Consider the following 19,701-nt stretch of genomic DNA (forward strand, 5'->3'; position numbering starts at 1 on the left):
AGAAGATAGAAAACGCCAGGCACTGCTATTTTAGAAAGGGTGATTAAAGAAAGCTTTTCTGACAAGGTAAAGTTTGAACAGAGGCCACACCAAAATAATGCATTCTTTTGTTTAATTTAAGTCAACATCTACAGGAAGAGCATTCCCAGTGGAGGAAATGGCAAGGACCTAATCCTTGAGGCAGGTGTGGCCTCGCTGTGTTCAAACAATGGCAAAGAAGCCTGGGCTGGGAGGCACAGGGCAAATACAGGAAATGAGGTAGGAAGAAGTAGGCAGGGGCCAGATCTGACTTTTTTTTTTTTTAAGTCTTTTATTTATTTCAATAGGTTTTTGGGGAACAGGTAGTACTGACTTATATTTTTAAAGAATGACTCTAGCAGCAGGGTGGAGAACAGGCTATATCAAAGCAAGAGATGAAAAAAGAAGGCTGACAAGGAGTCCACTTAAAAACCAGGAATAGATTATGGTGCTTTGGACTAGGGTACAATCTGGAAAGAGGAGAGAGGTAGTCATATCGGGGATGTAATTTCAAGGTAGAACCCTGCTGATAAGTACAATGTGAGATGCAGGAGGAAGATCCCACATGACTGAAAACGGGATCTAAAAGATAAGGAGTCAAAACAAGAATTTGCATTTGAGATACAGTAACTGTGTGATGGCCTATGGCATCCAAGGGAATGTTGGAAGTCTAGGGAAGTTTCAAAGCTAGAGATAAATTTTGGGAATTGTCAATTTATTAATAATATTCAAAGCCTTGAGACTGGCTGAGATTATCAAGAAGGTGAATATAGACAGAAAGGGAAATGGTCCAGACCACATTCCCGGGCAAAGCCACCACTTAGAGGGTGACCAGCAGAGGAAGATCCACACAGGAAACAGGAGTAACCACCAGGGTGGGAGAAAATCCAAGAAGTGTGTGGTGTCAGGGAAGGCAAATGAAGAAAGCGTCTCCAAGGGCCCGAGTAAGAGACTGAGGGTGTCCCTCTGGCTTGGACATTGGGAGGGCACGGGGGACCTTGACAAAAGTTGTTTTGGAGGAATGATATAGACAAAGGCCAGGTTGGAGTGGTTCAAAAAAAGATTAGAAAAGAAGACACAACAAACAAACAAAAAATTCTTACCAGAAATTTGGCTAAAAGGAGAACAGAGAAAATAGGGGGCAGGTGGAGAGAGACACAGGGTCAAGGGTAGGGTCTTAAAATAGAATATAGAAAATAGAACCTGCTTGTAAGTTAATGGGTCAGATCTCATCGAAAGGGGCAATCAATGAGGCAGGAAAGACAGAAGCAGCTGCGGGAGAATATCCTGGGAGACATGGTATTATACAGTGGCTGCATGCATAGACTCTGAAGCCACACAAATTTATTACGGCTGTGTGATTTTTGCACACGTTGCTGAATTTTGCTGTGCCTCAACCTCCTCGTCTGTAAAACTGATATTATTCCTACCTCACAAGGCTGTTGTAAGGATTTCATTAGTTAATTTATAAGGTACTTAAAACTAAGCCTGGTGCATACTGGACAGGTTGGCTTCTTCATAATGACTAAAAGAAGACAAGGTCCAGTGCACAGGCTGGTTTGGATACATCCTCCCCTGAAACGGTAGGAAAAAGGGAAGGCAGAGAAACAGGCATGGTGCAGGAAGGTGGGCAGATTTGGTGGGTAGGGGATCTTTATATTTCTTTTATTCTCGGTCAAATAAAAAAACTGGAAAGGAAAAGAGAAATGTTGGTGGTTTGAGGTGAGAGGAAAAAGCGTGAAATAGTCGTCTTGGAGAGTAGGCGAGTACATTCTCAGAGAAATGGGGCAGGACTGCCAGGCAGCCCTCTAGGCCCACTTCAGATGTGACATCATATATCTAAAGTGAGACCTGTTAAGATGGTTGTGAGTTTTTCTCAAGCCACATTCAGCTGCTTGGGCGCAGGCATGGGTGGAGAGGTGAGTAGGCACAGAGATTTAACCAGCAGCAAGTTTTACCAGAAGAGCTCAATTGAGAGTGTGAGGGATAGAGAGAGGGTAAGAAAGGGTACTGATTGTGTGTGAAGGAGTAATTATAAAGATGGACCAGGGACTCTAATTAAAGAGAAGTTGAAAAAGAGGCTGGATAGAGGAAACATGATGGAAATTTAGGTTATTAGGAAAACTATCAGGAACCATTAAAACTACCTGAGGACTTCCATGTCTTTATTTTAGATTCTTGACAGGTGTTTTCTCCTCCTCTTGGGGGTGGATCCGAAAGGAGTGGCACCCCTTCCTTCTCCTGGAGTGCCCCTGCCTGTACCCCCAAGACCAAGATCACAGCTTCACAATGTAGCAGGGACTCCTGGCCATCCCTCAAAAGTAACTGTTTCTGTGCTAGAAAACTGAAAAACAGCAAGGGCCAGAAGTGAACCAGAGTGCAGAGTGAGGCAGAATCAGTGAGTCAGAGTGATGACGTGGGGCCTCCATGCTAAGGCAGAAAGAAAAACAAGCAGACAGACATCCAAAGGAAAAGCCAAAGATGTTGACCAGAAGGATTAAGCTGTGGGACACTAAGGCCCACATCACCTGCCGCCTGTGTAGTGGGCACCTCATTGATGCAACCAGGGTGACCAAGTGTCTGCACACATTCTGTAGGGGTTGCCTGGTAAAGTATTTGTAAGAGAACAACACCTGCCCTGCATGTAGGACTGTGATGCGTCACACTCACTCACTGCAGTACATCGGTCATGAGAGCACCATACATGAGACTGTTTACAAATTGGTATCAGGTCTCCAAGAAGCAGAAATGAAAACAGAGAATTCTGTCACAAATTGGGCATGGAAGTGCCTAGAGACATCAAAGGGGATACTTGTTCCACAAAACAACACTTAGATTTCCATCAGAATGGTGAAATGAAAGCAGAAGACAGTTCAAACAAAGACCAAAAAAGAGAAAAAGGAAAAGGACAATGATTTTCACAGAAGTGATGAGCAGGAAAGCAACAGCAGCAAGTTGTGGGGACTGAAAAGGAAATGAATCTGCTGCATAGCCCAAGCAATGGTCTGACATCTAAAGAAGTTCACTGCCAAAAATCTTAACCTTTTGTCCTTCAATGAGGTAATAGTCAATCCATAAAGAGAAACTCAAGCAAGTCAATTCTTAGGTAAAAATGACATTTCTAAAATTACTTGGGTTTTTTTTTTTCACAACTTTGTTTGGAGATTTTAACCAGAAAAAAATCTCAATTTGTTTTGCCTGCCCTGCCCGGTAGCATGATAGAAAACAGCAGTGAGGATTGTGAAAAGCCCAGACACCATGGACATGAAGAACCCACCATTGATAGAAGAGAAAACGGGGGAGAGGGTGTGGAGAGGAGGGCAGGTGATGAAACTGTTTTAAAATACGTTAAAGATATTCCTCACAAAGAAGAAGTCTGTTCTTTAATTTCACAAATGGATGGGTAGGTAGGTGGGTTGAAGGAGGGATGGGTGAATGAAGGAGAGAGAGAGAGAGAGAATGCTTTCAAGTTGTGATAAATGCTGAGAATAAAATGAAACTTGGTGGCCTGCTGGGCTGGGTAGTGGAAGAGTGGCATGAGCACATGAGCTGAAAATCACTGGGAGCTCACCTCAAGGTGATAACGTTTTGTGTGAAGATGTAAATTCTCAGCAGGAGACCAGCTCTGCACAGGTAAGAGAAGGCACTGGAAGGCCTCAGGCAGGGATACATGGTTTGGGGCAGGGTTTTAAAATATCCCTCAGGCTGTGTGGAAATGAGTTATGGGGTAGAGAAAGGAAAGCAAGAGAGGCTGATGGCAGGAGTCCCAGGAGAGAAGAACCATGGTGGTGCAGTGATAGTGGAAAAGCGGACAGACTTGACATGTGTTTTGGAGACAGCAGAGGGTGGAACGGTGGTCCCAAAGAGATAAACCCACATCTGGGCCCCTAGAACCTGCAAATGGGACCTCGTTTGGTAAAAGAATCTTTGCAGGTACAAGTAAGTTAAAGATCTTGAGATGAAATAGTCTTGGATTATCTTGGTGGACCTTAAGTACAACGACAAAAATCCTTATAAGAGTAAGGCGGCCGGGCGCGGTGGCTCACGCCTGTAATCCCAGCACTTTGGGAGGCCGAGGCGGGTGGATCATGAGGTCAGGAGATCGAGACCATCCTGGCTAACAAGGTGAAACCCCGTCTCTACTAAAAATACAAAAAATTAGCCGGGCGCGGTGGCGGGCGCCTGTAGTCCCAGCTACTCGGGAGGCTGAGGCAGGAGAATGGCGTGAACCCGGGAAGCGGAGCTTGCAGTGAGCCGAGATTGCGCCACTGCAGTCCGCAGTCCGGCCTGGGCGACAGAGCGAGACTCCGTCTCAAAAAAAAAAAAAAAAAAAAAAGAGTAAGGCAGAGGTCAGGCACGGTGGCTCACACCTGTAATCCCAGCACTTTGGGAGGCCAAGGCAGGCAGATCACCTGAGGTCAGGAGCTCAAGACCAGCCTGACCAATGTGGAGAAACCTACTCTGTACTAAAAATACAAAATTAGCTGGACGTGGTGATGCATGCCTGTAATCCCAGCTACACGGGAGGCTGACGCATGAGAATTGCTTGAACCCGGGAGGTGGAGGTTGCAGTGAGCCGAGATCGCACCATTGCACTCCAGCCTGGGCAACAAGACCAAAACTCCATCTCGAAAAAAAAAAAAATAGAATAAGGCAGAGAAAGACTTGAGATACAGACACAGAGACAAAGAGAAAGTCATGTGGAGAGGGAGGCAGACACTGGAATGATAAAGCCACAAGCTGAAGAATACTTGAGCCACTAGAAGCTGGAAGAGGCAGGAAGGATCCTCCCTGCTATGGTCTGCATGCATCCTCCAAAATTCATGTTTGGAAATTAATAGATTGGTGCCCTTATAAAAATGGCTATGGGAGTGGGCTCATGCTCTTCTGCTCTTCCACCACATGAGGACGCAGCAAGAAGACCCTTGCCAGATGCTGGTACCTTGGTCTTGGACCCCTCAGCCTCCAGAACGATGAGGAAATAAATTTCTATTATTCATAAAACCAACTCCCGCCCCCCCCAAAAAAAAACCCTACTTAAAAACTTTGTGGACCTTCCTCCTATAAACAGGAACTGTCCAAAAAGAGCACTATATTTTTTTTTGGATGTAGTCTTGCTGTGTCACCCAGGCTGGAGTGCAGTAATGTGCACATGGCTCACTACAGCCTCAACCTCCTGGGTTCAATTGACCCTCCCACCTCAGCCTCCCAAAGTACTGGATTACAGCTGTGAGCCACTGTGTCTGACCCCATTTATTTATTTTTGAAGCATTATAAAATTAATTTTAGTGTCCTTTGCTCCCCACAAACCTAAGAGGTTTGCACTGATAAAACAATTGTGACTATATAATCCTGATCTCCTAGGATCACTGTTCTCTGACCACTAGCATCCACCAAAGACAACTTGGTCCTCAACATCTTCAGCCAATCTCTTCTCTTTAAAGTATAGAATTATAAAAAAATGAAAGGAACCTCAAAAGTCACTTTACTCCATCCTATTATCTATCCCAAAGAGAGGGTTGCAGGTAAGCAAGCCTAGCCCAACAAGAAGGCTGCTACCTTTATAATGTGACTTGGAGGACACTGCTAGGGTCAACATGTCTCATAAACTCTCCCACACACACTCACTTTGGTAGAGATTTCCTTCTCCTTCTCTCTGCCCTGAAATGTCCAACATGAGATGCCTTCTTCTGAGTCAGAAAATAAAACCGAGGAGTACTCTCTCTAGAAGCTTCTTATTGAATAGTATACAATTTATATTATGGGAAAGTAAGAAAGGTCCCTGATTTACATGTGGGATACAAGAGGAAAGCTTTCTCCTTGTACTACTAGCTTCACCCTTCAGCACTAAGCAACTTATAAGATTTACTATTTGTCCTTTTAATATTTACCAAATCATAGAGCTAGCCTGAGAAGACAGTCATAGAAAAAGAAAGTTTTGGTAACTGTGTGGAAAAGATAGAAGGAAGTCAGCCTTATTAGAATGAGGTTTCTCTTTTAGCCTACCTTATTCTCTCATAATCTTTTTCTTCCAGAAAATGTTCTTTTTATGGGCCTACAATTATTTTACAGCCATTAAACATTTTTAGTTGTATGTCACCTATACCCTGCTTCAATTACCAATAGAACCTACTATTACAGATCAGTAACAAAAAAAGATATTATCACCTTTCTTCAAATTAGCAAAATAATGTATGTTATAGCAACTTGAACCAGAAATGTAGAAAACTATCGAATAAAGGAAAGACGGTCTTGTCCCCTGGTATATCACCAATGACTAATGAGTACTTGGCAATCAACAGCGCTCAATAAGTGTATTTTGAATGAATGAATACATGAGTAAATGTATAAACAATGAGATAGATGCGGTTTTTTAAACCCATATCTAAAGAATCACATAGTAACACTTAATAAACAATCAGTAACACATTCCTCTGAATACTCTTGCAACCACAAAGTCAACATATAAGACCAACAGCTGTAAAACAAACCAGAGTTCATCTTCTATTCATAAAAACTGAAGAGAAAGTCATCTGTATTTCGGCCAATCTTTCAATTAGTTACACCCAAAATAAATAATGATGTCATGAACATCTCTGAACACAAAGAACAATGACATGCTGTAAACATTCAGCAAATAAAACTATGCCAAAAATAACAGGATCCCTGGCCCAAGAACTAAAATTAAAGAACTCAATCAAATAACACTACCAAGTTATATTTAAAGGTTTGAGAGTAATGCCTGAGTTTTGCAATTTGTTTAAATAAACCCCAAATTTTATTTTCATTCATCTGAACCCCAAATAAGAATGGGGTCAAGGTAAAAGACACGTACACACAATTATTCCAAATAAAGATAGCATAGACAAAGAAAACTGAACCTCTAAAAGGAAACAATTGGGCCGGGCATGGTGGCTCACGCCTGTAATCCCAACACTTTGGGAGGCCGAGGCAGGTGGATCACGACGAGGTCAGGAGATTGAGACCATCCTGGCCAACATGGTAAAACCCTGTCTCTACTAAAAATACAAAAATCAGCCAGGCATGGTGGCACATGCCTGTAGTCCCAGCTACTCAAGAAGCTGAGGCAGGAGAATCGCTTGAACCCAGGGGGCAGAGGTTGCAGTCAGCCGAGATTACGCCACTGCACTCCAGCCTGGGCAACAGAGTAAGACTCCATCTCAAGAAAAAAAAAAAAAAAGAAAGAAAGAAGGAAATAATTGATCTTGGTTTACTATGCATAGTAGAAACATGTCCTATGTCAATAACCAGTGATAATGCTCAAAGATGTAAAGTTATATTTGTTCTGACAATCTCTAAAAACATTGCAATCCAGGAAAGGAAGATTCAGAGAGCTCAGCCTGAAAAGTTCCTTCTAGTCATGTTACCTAGAATTGGAAAGTTCATCCTCATAACCAACACTTCTTTTTCACAAGTTGACATGGCACTGATTACATCACAACCCCAAACACTAACAGCAACCCTAGCAGCAAATGGGCAGGAAGAATGGTTTCTAAGTAACCATCTCTCTTGACAGTCAAAATCCTCCCAACAAACTGCACTGTTCCCACTCCCAAACACATAATCCACATTATGAAAAATTCCTTTTCACTCTTGTTGAACCAGCATCTCTTTAGAAGACGTGTCCCACTGAGTCCAGCATGCACAGACAGGAACGACGGGCTCCTTGCCATGGAGCTAATGGATTTTTCCATAGCATCCTTACCGAGATCAAGTCACTCGGGATTAATCTGATGCTCCTGCTAGCATGTCCACTGTCAAGAATTCCAACACCTAACAATAGTGAAAAACCTGGATGAGATGTCAGCCAAAACCCTAACTTAGGTGTTCAGACAGTTAGATGGTTCAGCATGCAAGAGGGACTGGGACATGGTTCAATTTCTGACTGCTGTGCTTGAGGTGAACTGAAACAGTTGAGAATAAAACTAAGAAACATTAAACAGAAATGTCAGAGAACAGTGCCACATGGCCAAGAGATGCTTAGTGATATTAAATAGTGTGTCCATAGCTCAAATAGAGAAATGTCCTGTTGCAAGTGGCAGGCAGACAAAATGTGTCTACACGGTACCCTCTCTTAGCCAACTTTATCTGTCTGGCAGATCTCTGACAATCTCTTAACAGCTGTTCAAAGCCCACGACGATACTTTGTACTTACATGGGGCTTTCCTTCCAAGAGACTCAAACGGCTTTTCAGGCTTTATTCTCCAAACTTACATTGTTAGCTAACAGGGAACAAGTTTTATAAGTTTTGTTTTACTTACAGGTTACTTGGTAGGTGAAAAAAAAAAAACTACCTTGGATGCTCAAATATCACAGCAGAGGCTTAAATGAGCTTGTGCAAACCCAGAATTTTTGCCTCTCTGGATCAGACCTGTTTTCTTTATTCATTGCAAATATTTCTGTCTAGGGTTACCAAAATCGAGAGTCTTCATTTTGTTCAGGACCAGAGCCATGGGTTAACTCTCAACAAAATCAATAAAATATATGGGAGAAATTTTGCCCTATGACCCTGAGTAATTTTAGTAATCTGACTCTGCTACAAACATGTGTCATTTAATAGGCAGTTCCCACCAAAGGTGCTCAGTTTCTCTAACTGCATTTTTATCACAGCTTTGACTTTTTTAGATCTCCAGAAGATACAGAAGTAGCTAGCACTTCCAGGCTGTTACTAATGCATCAAAGATAGAAAAAACCTTGGTTGAGAATGTGTCATCCCAACAATGACGGCAGGAAGATCCAGAGTAGGAACACCTGTTCCCCAACATCTGCTGTCTAATCTTGACTTTCAAGGAGAATAGAGTCTCACCTGTATTTTCTGCCTTTTTGGAATAGCAATGATTAGTTTGAATCATCATCTTTTGCCTATTTATTCATGAGTTTTACATGTCAAATTTCTCTTTTAGTGGCTTTTTCTTCCCTTTACTAAGTTTAAAATTAAATCTAAGGTAAACAAATTAGAGGCCGGATGCAGTGGCTCACGGCTGTAATCCCAGCACTTTGGGAGGCCAAGGCAAGTGAATCATGAGGTCAGGAGATCGAGACCATCCTGGCTAACATGGTGAAAAACAGCCTCTATTAAAAATACAAAATTTAGCCGGGCGTAGTGGTGCACGCCCTTAGTCCCAGCTACCTGGGAGGCTGATGCAGGAGAATCGCTTGAACCCAGTAGGCGGAGGTTGCAGTGAGCTGAGATTACGCCATTGCACTCCAGCTTGGGCGACAGAGCAAGACTCCATCTCAAAAAAAAAAAAAAAAAAAAAATTAGCCCATGTGGAAAAGAAGAAGGATGCCATGAAAAGAAACAAGGTAGCTTCACCAGGCATGGACTGAGCGCATATTAGCCTTTCTCCCACTTCTCCCATGAAGGGAATGGCTCTGACACATCCCGGTGGCATCTTTCTCAAAGAAGAAACATTTGTAGGCATACGTTTTCCTGGGAACTCTTATGCCAATAACAATCAAAAGCCATTGTTTCCACCTATAAAGTGACTGAAGCCCTAGAAATGACACTGCTTTTATTTCCAGATTTTTTTTACCTTGGGCATCAAATTGGGTGCAAAACTTAAAAGCCAGAAAGAAAATATTAAATTCGTCTTGAGGATGTGCAGCGACTCTCCAGCAGATGGCTCTCCAGGATCATAAGGTTCTAAGGGATACCAGAATTTTCTGAAATAACTACCACAAAATCCAGCAACTCACAGTTAAGCTGACTTAGAATACATAGAATTTCATTACATTTCTAAAATGGAAATATTCCTGCCAAGTGCTTTTACATTTTTATCATGTAATAGGAGATATATATTAGACTATATACATATACCGTATTTATCTTATTAAGTTCATAGTGAAATGAACCCCAAAGAACTCACTATTCAATTTAAGGACTAGTAAGTTATTAATACTGTTACACCTATCTGCATATTCTTCTTAACATCCTTCTTCCCCTTAAAGCCATACAAAGTTACTGACTGCTATATTTGGGGACTTTCTTTCCATTCAAAATTATGGTTTTAAGTTTCACACATCTTGTTGTACAAAACACTAGTTTATTAATTTTCACGATATATGCTGTTCATTATGCATATATGTCACAGTTTGTTTATCCCCATGTCAAGGAAGATTTCGGGTATTTGGTTGTTGCTAATTTTTTTTTGCTGTTATGAATAGTGCTGCTTGAACACTCATAAATGATCTCTAGTGTATTTGTTCAAGGCTTTGTCTAGGGTACATTCCTAAAAGTGGAATTGCTAGGTTAAAAGGAATACAAGTGTTCAACATCCTAATGTCTAGATAAATGTCCCTAGCTCCACATCCTCATCAACCTTTGGCACTGTCAAACATTTCTTTTCAATCCAGTGTGTATAAAATGATGTCACTCCAGATGTCATTTGCACTTTCTTAATGACTAATGAGGTTGTGTATCCATTCAGTATCTGTGTGAGATGCCTACTCATGTCTTTCACTCATCTTTCTATTGGGCTGTCTGTCATTTTTCCGCTGATTCTTTTAGAGTTCTTTCTATCCTGGACATCAATCCTTTATCAGTTATATGGATTACAAATATTTTTGCTAATTTTAGAAGCTGTATTTTCACTTTCTTTCTAGCATCCTTTTATAAAAGGTTTTAGTTTTAATATCACTGAATTTATCAGGATTTTTATGGTTAGCAATTTTTGTGTCATATCTAAAAAAACTTTATTGTGAGGTCAGAAAAATATTCTACAATTTTAGTCAGTTTAAGGTTTGCCTATTACATCTGTTTTTAAACCACATAGAACTGATTTTTGTGTAGGATGTAGCTTCAATATAGTTTTTTCTATATGGACAACCAATTGTCCCAGAACTTTTTGTTTGTTTTAAATGCTTTCCCCATCACTCTGCAGTGCAATTTTCGTCACATGTCAAGGACCCTCTATAGCAGTGTGTTTCCATGCCTATTCTGCTTCACTGGCCACTTTGACTATTCCTGTCCATGTCCTCCTTGTCCAAATATATAATTATATAGTAAGAGCTTTATAAGTCTTAATATCTGTTAGGGTATTTACAGACACCTTCCTTCAATTTCTTTTTCTTCTTTAGGAGTACACTGGCTATTTCTTGGCCTATTGCTCTTCCATATAAATTTTATCAAAAGTTTACTAAGCTGTTCTGAATTAATGCAATGTAAAAATAAAATAATGAAATCTTACTGTTATTACTTCATTCTATTTTCTTTGGGTTTCTTCTATTTTGTTTTTATAGCTGTATTAGTCCATTCTCACACTGCTATAAAGATACTGCCTGAGACTGGGTAATGCATAAACAAAGGAGATTTAATTGACTCACAGTACTGCATGGCTGGAGAGGCCTCAGGAAACTTACAGTGGTGGTGGAAGGGGAAGCAGGCACGTTCTTCACAAGGTGGCAGGAGTCAGAAAGACCATGAGTGAGTGTGAAGAAGGAACTGTCCAACACTTATAGAACCATCAGATCTCATGAGAACTCACTACCACAAGAACAGCACAGGAAAACCACCTTCATGATCCAATCACTTCCCACTAAGTCCCCACCTCGACACATGGGGGATTACAATTCAAGATGAGATTTGGGTGGGGATACAGAGCCAAACCGTATCAATAGCTTAAGGTGGAAGTTACTTAGCTCATTAATTTTCATCCTTTCCGCTTTTCTAAGCTTTTGGGTTTTATTTTTTAAGCTGATAATTGTATATATTTATCATGTCCAACATGATGTTTTGAAGTATATATGTATTGTGGAGTGACTAAATCTAACTAACATATGCATTACCTCACAAAGTTATTTTCTGTGCTGAGAACGTTTAACATCCACTCTCAGTATTTATCAAGAATACAGCATGTTGTTATTAACTATAGTCACCATGTTATACAATAACAGAAACTTTTTTATTTTTTAAAGTGAACAAACTCACTGAGGGAGCTTTCTAAAGGTTAAAAATTTCCCATTATATAATCCTTCATCTTCACCCCACAAGTCTGATATATTTTCTCTGAGTCACTTCCAAATATTTTGATTTTCGATTATAATTTCTTCTTTGATCCACAAGTTATTTAGAAGTAGTTTTTTTCATTTTCAAAAGTATGGGGCAATTTATCTTTTTCATTATTAATGTCTAACCTAATTGCACAACCATCAGAGAATACAGCCTGCATGATATCAATTCTTTAAAATTTGTTGAGATTTTTTTTTTTAATTTTTGAGATGGAGTCCACTTTGTCACCCAGGCTGGAGTGCAATGGTGCCATCTCGGCTCACTGCAACCTCCACCTCCCGGGTTCAAGTGATTCTCCTGCCTCAGCCTCCCAAGTAGTTGGAATTACAGGTGCACACACACCACGCCCAGCTAATTTTTTTTATTACAGGTGCACACCACCATGCCCAGCTAATTTTTAGGAGAGACGGGGTTTTACCATATTGGCCAGGCTGCTCTTGAGCTCCTGACCTCAGATGATCCACCTGCCTCAGCTTCCCAAAGTGCTGGGATTACAGGCGTGAGCCACCACGCCCAGCCAGGATTTTTTTAATGGACTGGTTTATGGCCAATTTTTATAAATATTTCATGTGTGATTGAAGATAACATATTTGCTAACAGTTGGAGACAATATTTTATATATGTCAAGGAATGCTTTTGTCTCAAATTTTATTTTGTTTGAAGATTTTAACAAATTGAATACAATACATAAGAAGGATAATATATAATAATATAAAGCTGTTTTAGTATTCAAAAACCAATGAGTATAATTCAATATAGTAACTCCTTAAAAAAGAAAACCATATCATCATCTTAAAAGGTACAGAAATACCAATGCAGAAAAAGCATTTGATAAAAATCCAATATGCACACAATGTCCAAAAAGAAAAAAACAAAATCTAAGCTTTCAGCAAACTAAGAAGGGACAACTTGATTGTGTTAGTAAGTTTGGGCTGTCATAACAAAATTCCAGAAACTAGGTGGCTTAAACAACAGAAATTTATTTTCTCACAGTTTTGGAGGTTAGAAGTCCAAGATCAAGGCACCAGCCAGGTGGGTTTCTGGTAAGGCCTCTCTTCCTGGTTTACAGATGGCCACCTTCTTGCTGTGTCCTTACATGACATTTCCTCTCTTGCAGAGACTCTAGTGTCTCTTGTTCTTCTTCCTTCTTCTTTTTTTTTTTTATTTCATTAGAGATGGTCTCAGTCTGTCACCCAGACTGAAGTGCAGTCACACAATCACACAATCAGTTCACTGCAGTCTTGAACTCCTGGGCTCAAGCAATCCTCCTACCTCAGCCTCCCGAGTAGCTAGGACTACAGGTGCATGCCACTATCTCCAGCTAATTTATTTCATTTTTTGTAGGGATTAGGGTCTCTTCGGTGACCAGGCTGGTCTCAAACTCCTGGTCTCAAGCAATCCTTCTGCCTTCGCCCCCCTAAAGTTCTGGGATTAAAGGCATGAGCTACCCCTCCCAGCCCTCTTTCTCTTTTTATAAGGACACCAGTCCTATTGGATTTGGCCCCACTCTTATGACCTCATATAACTTAACTATCCCCTTACAGACCCTGTCTCCAAATACAATCACATTAGTGATTAAGTCTTCAACAAATAAATTTTCTACGGACACAATTCAGTCCATAACACTGATAAAGGGTGTCAACAAGAAACCTCTGGCTAACATCATAATTAGCCCACTTGTATTTATTGTCATTATTGATATATTTGTGTTTGTTACTTTATTTTTTCCACTTTTTCTGTGCTTAATTTTTCTTTTTTTTTTTTTTGGCTTTTTTTCTTATTCTATTTTCCCCCACTACTGGTTTAGAAATTATACATTCTACTGCCTACTGCATTTTTTCAGCTGTTACTCTTAAATTTTACCACGCATATTTAACTAACCAAAGACTGAACTTAATCACTATCTTATCACTCAATAAGAAGGGCTTTAGAGTCCTTTAACCCTGGCTATATCTTCCCAATTTATTTTATTGTCCACTATTTTAGCTCTGTCCTCTCTTCTTACTCCATAAATTAGAAATTATATTTTATACAGAGTGCTTATGATTTATGTACATATTTACCAATTTATTTGTTCACTATTTCTTCTTGCATCTCAGTCCCTCCTTCTAGAATTATCTTTCTTCTTCTCTAAATGCAATGCCTTCATAAGTTCCTTTTCTAAAATCTGTTGCCAGTATTTTTGCCTTTGTTCTTTAAAAGTAGAGGCACATATTTCTAGGTTATTCGTTAATTTCTCTTAATTCATTAAAGAGATTCTCCTGTCTTCTGGTTTCCAGTTCCACCATTGCTGCTAAGTCTGCTCTCAGTCTAAATTTTGTTCCTTTGTAGGTAATCTTTTTCCCCTGGCTTTTTTCCTTTAAATCTGGATCTTCAGATTTCTCTCTTTGTCTTCATTGTTCTTTCATTTCATTACAATGTATCTTGTTGAGCATTTTTATTTTTAACTTTTTTTATTGATGTAGAACAAACAAAAAGTTGACAAACCATAAGTGTACAACTTAATAAACTATTACATCATGAACCAGCATATTCACAACCCATATTCTTTTTTAAAAAAGCAACATTCTATTGTACCAGAAGCCCCCTTCATACCACCATCATTACCCCAAAGGTAAGCACTATTCTGACTTCTAACACCACGGATTAGGTTTGCTGGTTTTTGAAATTTCTATAAATGGAATTATATTGTGTGCATTTCTTAGTGTCTAGCTTCTTTCACTGCAAGATCAACCCCTATATTGCTGCATGTGGCAATCATCCATTCATATTTAGCACCATGTAGTTTTCCATTGTATTAACATAGCACAATTTATTTGTCTATTCTACTGGTGATGATTAGAATCTAGGTTATTTCAAGATTTTTGCTTTTTCAAATAATCAGTGTTACTGTTAACACTCCTGTACATCTTTTGGTGTGCTTGTGTTTGCATTTTTGATGGTTTATTTATCTTGTGTGATACATGTGTTTCCTATGTCCATGGATTCATATTTTATCACAGTTTTGGAAAAATTTTCAGCCATTACCACTATGAATCCTATCCCTCTGTTATCTCCGTATCTCTTCCATTCTCTCTATTTTCTCCTGCTGGATATCTGATTAGATAAGTGAGAAGTTTTCACTCTACCCTCCATAAAGCTTAGCTTTTCTTTCATGTTCTCTCACTTGTCTCTTTGTGCTACACTCTCTATAATGTCTTCAAATTGATCTTCCAGTTCATTAATTTTCTCTTTTGGATTATTTAACCTGTCATTGAGGCTTTTTTCCCAAAAAATTATATTTATATTTCTAAATTATATTTATATTTCTAAATGTTCTATTTGGTTATTTTTTAAAATCTGCTGGGTCATTTTTGATAGTGTTTTATTACCTCCTCATTTTTGTGACTTTTTTTTATTTCTTTAAAGCTTTTATAAATGGTTATTTTATATCTATGTCTGGATAGTTTTAGTAACAAAGGTCCTGAGTAAAGAGTAAGCCAATCTTACTTGGCTTTGTCTTTTCTGCTGACTGTCAGTCATGGTGGTTCATTTCCTTGTTAATTTGTTGATATTTTATTACAACACATTTATTTTATTCCTCACATTTGCTTGGTTCTAATCTGTGGGAAACCTATGGGACTCTATTGGACATGATTTTTTCCAGAGAGAATTTACATTTCCTTCTGTGGGAAGTCAGGGTGTGATACAAACCTGGAATTACTTTATTTTATTCCCCTTACACAGGCTTAATGTGGAAATTTTAGTCCAGGTTCCTCATCTTACTACTGGCTCAAGTGTAGACACCTAGCACAACAATGATATCACTACTTGTCCTAGAGCACCGTTACCTCTTCCTTGCAGTTAATTCCTTGGGTTTCAGCCCATCTTTGGAATACACCAAGCCAGAAAGCACAATCCTTGAAGATTTTTCTGACTACTTGTAATCCCATCAATTTATTAAGGCATATGTTTTACCCAAGATCTAGTCATTTTGCTATGTCAAGACCCATTAGTTTTCTGTCAGAATCTGAAATCCAAATAAGGTACTTTTCAAGGGCATCCATACTCAAAATCATCCATTTTATCTACTGTAAATAGGTCCAACGAGCTGAGTGAGAGTTTTTATTTGTTTTTCAAACTCCATTTTTAAATTCTCCAATTTCAAATACTCATAAGAGAATCTGTAATCTGGGTATATTTTAAAATTAGATCAAATCTGAAATGTTATTATTAAATATTACCTTCTAATAGAGAACCAAGAAATAAAGCTGCACACCTACAACCATCTGATCTTCAATAAAGTCAACAATAACAAGCAATGGAGAAAGGACTCACTATTCAATAAATGATGCTGGGATAGCTGGCTAGCCAAATGCAGAAGATTGAAACCGGCCCCCTAACTTTCACTATGTACAAAAATTAACTCAAGATGGATTAAAGACTTAAATGTAAGACATAAAACTATAAAAATCCTAGAAGAAAATCTAGAAAAAACCATTCTGGACATTGGCCTTGGCAAAGAATTTATGACTAAGTCCCCAAAAGCATTTGCAACAAAAATAAAAATTAATGAGTGGGACCTAATTAAACTTAAGAGCTTTTGCACAGCAAAAGAAACTATCAAGGGGGTAAACAGACAACCAACAGAATGGGAGAAAATATTCACAAACTATCCACTCAACAAATGTTTAATATCCAGAATCTATGAGAAATTTAAACAATTCAACAAGCAAAAAACAAACAACTCCATTAAAAATGGGCAAAGAACATGAACAAATACTTCTCAAAAGAAGACTTATGAAAAAATGCTCAACATCACTAATCATTAGAGAAATGCAAATCAAAACCACAATGAGATGTCATCTCACACCAGTCAGAATGGTTATTATTAGAAGTCAAAACATAACAGATGCTGGTGAGGTTATAGAAAAAAGGGAATGCTTGTACACTGTGGATGGGAATGCAAATTAATTCAGCCCCTGTGGAAAGCAGTTTGGAGATTTCTCAAAGAACTTAAAACAGAACTACCATTTGATTCAGCAATCCCATTTCTGGGTATACACCTAAAAAAAACAAATAATTCTACCAAAAAAACATGCACTCATATGTCCATACCAGCACCATTCAAAATAGCAAAGGCAGGTAATCAACGAAGATGCCCAACAATGGTAGACTAACGAAAATGTGATACATATACACCATGGAATACTATGCAGCCATAAAAAATCATTTCCTATGCCATAATATGGATGTACCTAGAGGCCATCAAACTAAGTGAATTAACACAGGAACAGAAAACCAAGCATCACATGCTCTCACTTGTAAGTGGGAGCTAAACACTGAGTAAATATGAACTCAAAGAATGGAACAACAGACACTGGGGCCTACTTGAGGGTGGAGGGTGGAAGGAGGAAGAGGAGTGAAAAACAAACTATCTAGTACTACGCTCACTACCTGAGTGATGGGATCATTCATATACCAAACCCCAGTGACACACAATTTACCCATGTAACAAACCTGTACATGTACCCCCAAACCTAAAAGTTGAAAGAAAAAAATAGACATTACCTTAAACATGTCTGTTAATTTATTCAGTTCTCTCCTTGTTAAATGCCTCATCGCCATGACTTTTTAAACTCCATTATTAATCTATAAAAATTTCTTGAAAACTTTTTACTAAATTTCAAATTTTCCACTCACTGTAAAATAGTAAATATAATAATTTAAAATTTCCTCCATTGTAGCCTTAACAATATTTAGAAGGTACATTCATGAGAAAATAAAAAGGCTTGAGACAAGATAGTCCACTTCAAACACCAGTGGCAAAATGTTTTGGATTCAATTTCCATTTCAGGCAGCTGTTTAAATATTTTCTTGGCTGGGTGCAGGAGTTCACACTTGTAATTCCAACACTTTGGGAGGCCGAGGCAGGCAGACTTCTTAAGCCCAGGAGTTTGAGACGAGCCTGGGCAACATGGTGAAACCCCGTCTCTACAAAAAAATACAAAAGTTGGCTGGGTGGGGTGCTGCACATCTCTAGTCCCAGATACTCAGGAGGCTGAAGTGGGAGGATTGCCTGAGCCTGGGAAGCCAAGGCTGCAGTGAGCTATGATTGCGCCACTGTACTTTAGCCTAAACAATAGAGTGAGACCTTGTCTCAACAATAAACAAATAAATAAATAATTTTCTTATTTCATTTAGTATTACTTTCTCTGAATTTGAGGATTCTGCTCTTGACAATGGCATTGCCTATATCTGGTTAACAAGCTGAAGATACCGATTTACATAAGTACCTTCGCATTTACTGCCCACAACAACTCCTTTTCAGCCATGAGCCCATATAATTGGTATGTTATCCATTATCTTCTATAAATCCTGCCCCAAAGTTACACTGGTAGAGCCCTGTAGCAATAATTACAAGTTCTAGAGTTCAATACTTGCTCCTTTATTTTAGAGACAGAGTTTCGCTCTGTCACCCAGGCTGGAGTACAGCAGCACAACCACAGCTCACTGCAGTCTTGAACTCCTGGGCTCAAGAGACCCTCCTGCCTCCACTTCTCCAGTAGCTGGGATTACAGGCATAAGCCACTGTGCCTGGCTTAACATCTGCTCATTAAATAACTCACTTATGATTCAGATGACAGCTTCATATACTTCCCTCTAGAAAACGAGACTACAGCAATCCTATTTCTCAAGTATGCTATAAAGAGAAACACAAAGCTATATTAATATTATATCTGTAAATTCTGAGCCATCTGGAATAATATCTTTTTCTTCAGCTAATTAGACACCTTAAAGGACTACTTGCTTTAAGCAAACATACACAAAACTTGTATATAAAAATCCACATATACTCAAAAGATAAATTATAGGTTGGTTAGGTTGATTATTGACTATGCAAAAATATGTATGAAAGTAGATTTCCCCTTCAAAATGTAAAGCATGTCTCAACCTATCTAAAATGAGGCTTACATAATAATTTGTGGAAATATGCATTTGTTTTATCATACTTACATGCATTTAGCTCCTTGAAAGCAGGTATTTCACCTTAATCCATCTTTGTGCCCCACTTCCCAGGATCAAGCATTGTGCCTCACACAGAATAAGCACTCAGTATATGTTTATTGAATGGAAATAAACTCAACAACACCCTATCTTCCTCTTCAAAATAAATATTTAAATGCCTTTAGAACTCCAATCCAATTTTCATTAAGTTATGTCGTGTATATGTTTCAAATGAGTATAACTTTTTTTTTTAAAGAGACTAGGTCTCACCCTGTCACCCAAGCTGGAGTGCAGTGGTATGATCACAGTTCACTTCAGCCTCGAACTCCTGGGCTCAAGCAATCCTCCTGCCTCAGCCTCCTGAACAGCTGAGACTACAGGTACATGCCACCACACCCAGCTAATTAAAAAAAAAAAAAATTTATACAGGTGGAGTCTCACTATGTTTCCCAGACTAGTCTCAAACTCCTGGCCTCAAGCGATCCTCCTGCCTTGGCCTCCCAAAGTGCTGGGAGAGAGCCGTTTTCCACTCACTTATTCTACTCATCAGTGTGGGCTGAGTGGTCCAGGAGGCTTCATAGAGGAGAATAAGTTTGAGCTGAATTCTTTCTGTTTCTTTCCTGGCCTCTTAACTTCATAGCTCCCTGTTTATGGAGCAGAGGAGC

General features: G+C 39.1%; 1 protein-coding gene and 1 pseudogene across 2 annotated transcripts in view; one reads left to right on the forward strand and one right to left on the reverse strand.

Moving 5' to 3' along the window:
- Window positions 1-19,701, reverse strand: part of ARMH4 (armadillo like helical domain containing 4) — a 151,453-nt gene that overhangs the window by 97,725 nt on the left and 34,027 nt on the right. The window contains exon 5 of one of the 2 annotated variants that reach the window (NM_001320173.3): window positions 17,601-18,022. The exons of the other annotated variant lie outside the window; for it this stretch is intronic. Coding sequence (NP_001307102.1) covers window positions 17,841-18,022 — 182 coding nt within the window. The 3' untranslated portion in view covers window positions 17,601-17,840. Of the gene's footprint in view, window positions 1-17,600; window positions 18,023-19,701 lie in introns of those variants that run through there. 2 annotated transcript variants of the gene reach the window in all.
- Window positions 2,500-3,087, forward strand: LOC100420347 (polycomb group ring finger 3 pseudogene; annotated as a pseudogene).

The sequence above is a fragment of the Homo sapiens genome, chromosome 14 (genome assembly GCF_000001405.40).
Source record: "Homo sapiens chromosome 14, GRCh38.p14 Primary Assembly".
Taxonomy (NCBI): domain Eukaryota; kingdom Metazoa; phylum Chordata; class Mammalia; order Primates; family Hominidae; genus Homo; species Homo sapiens.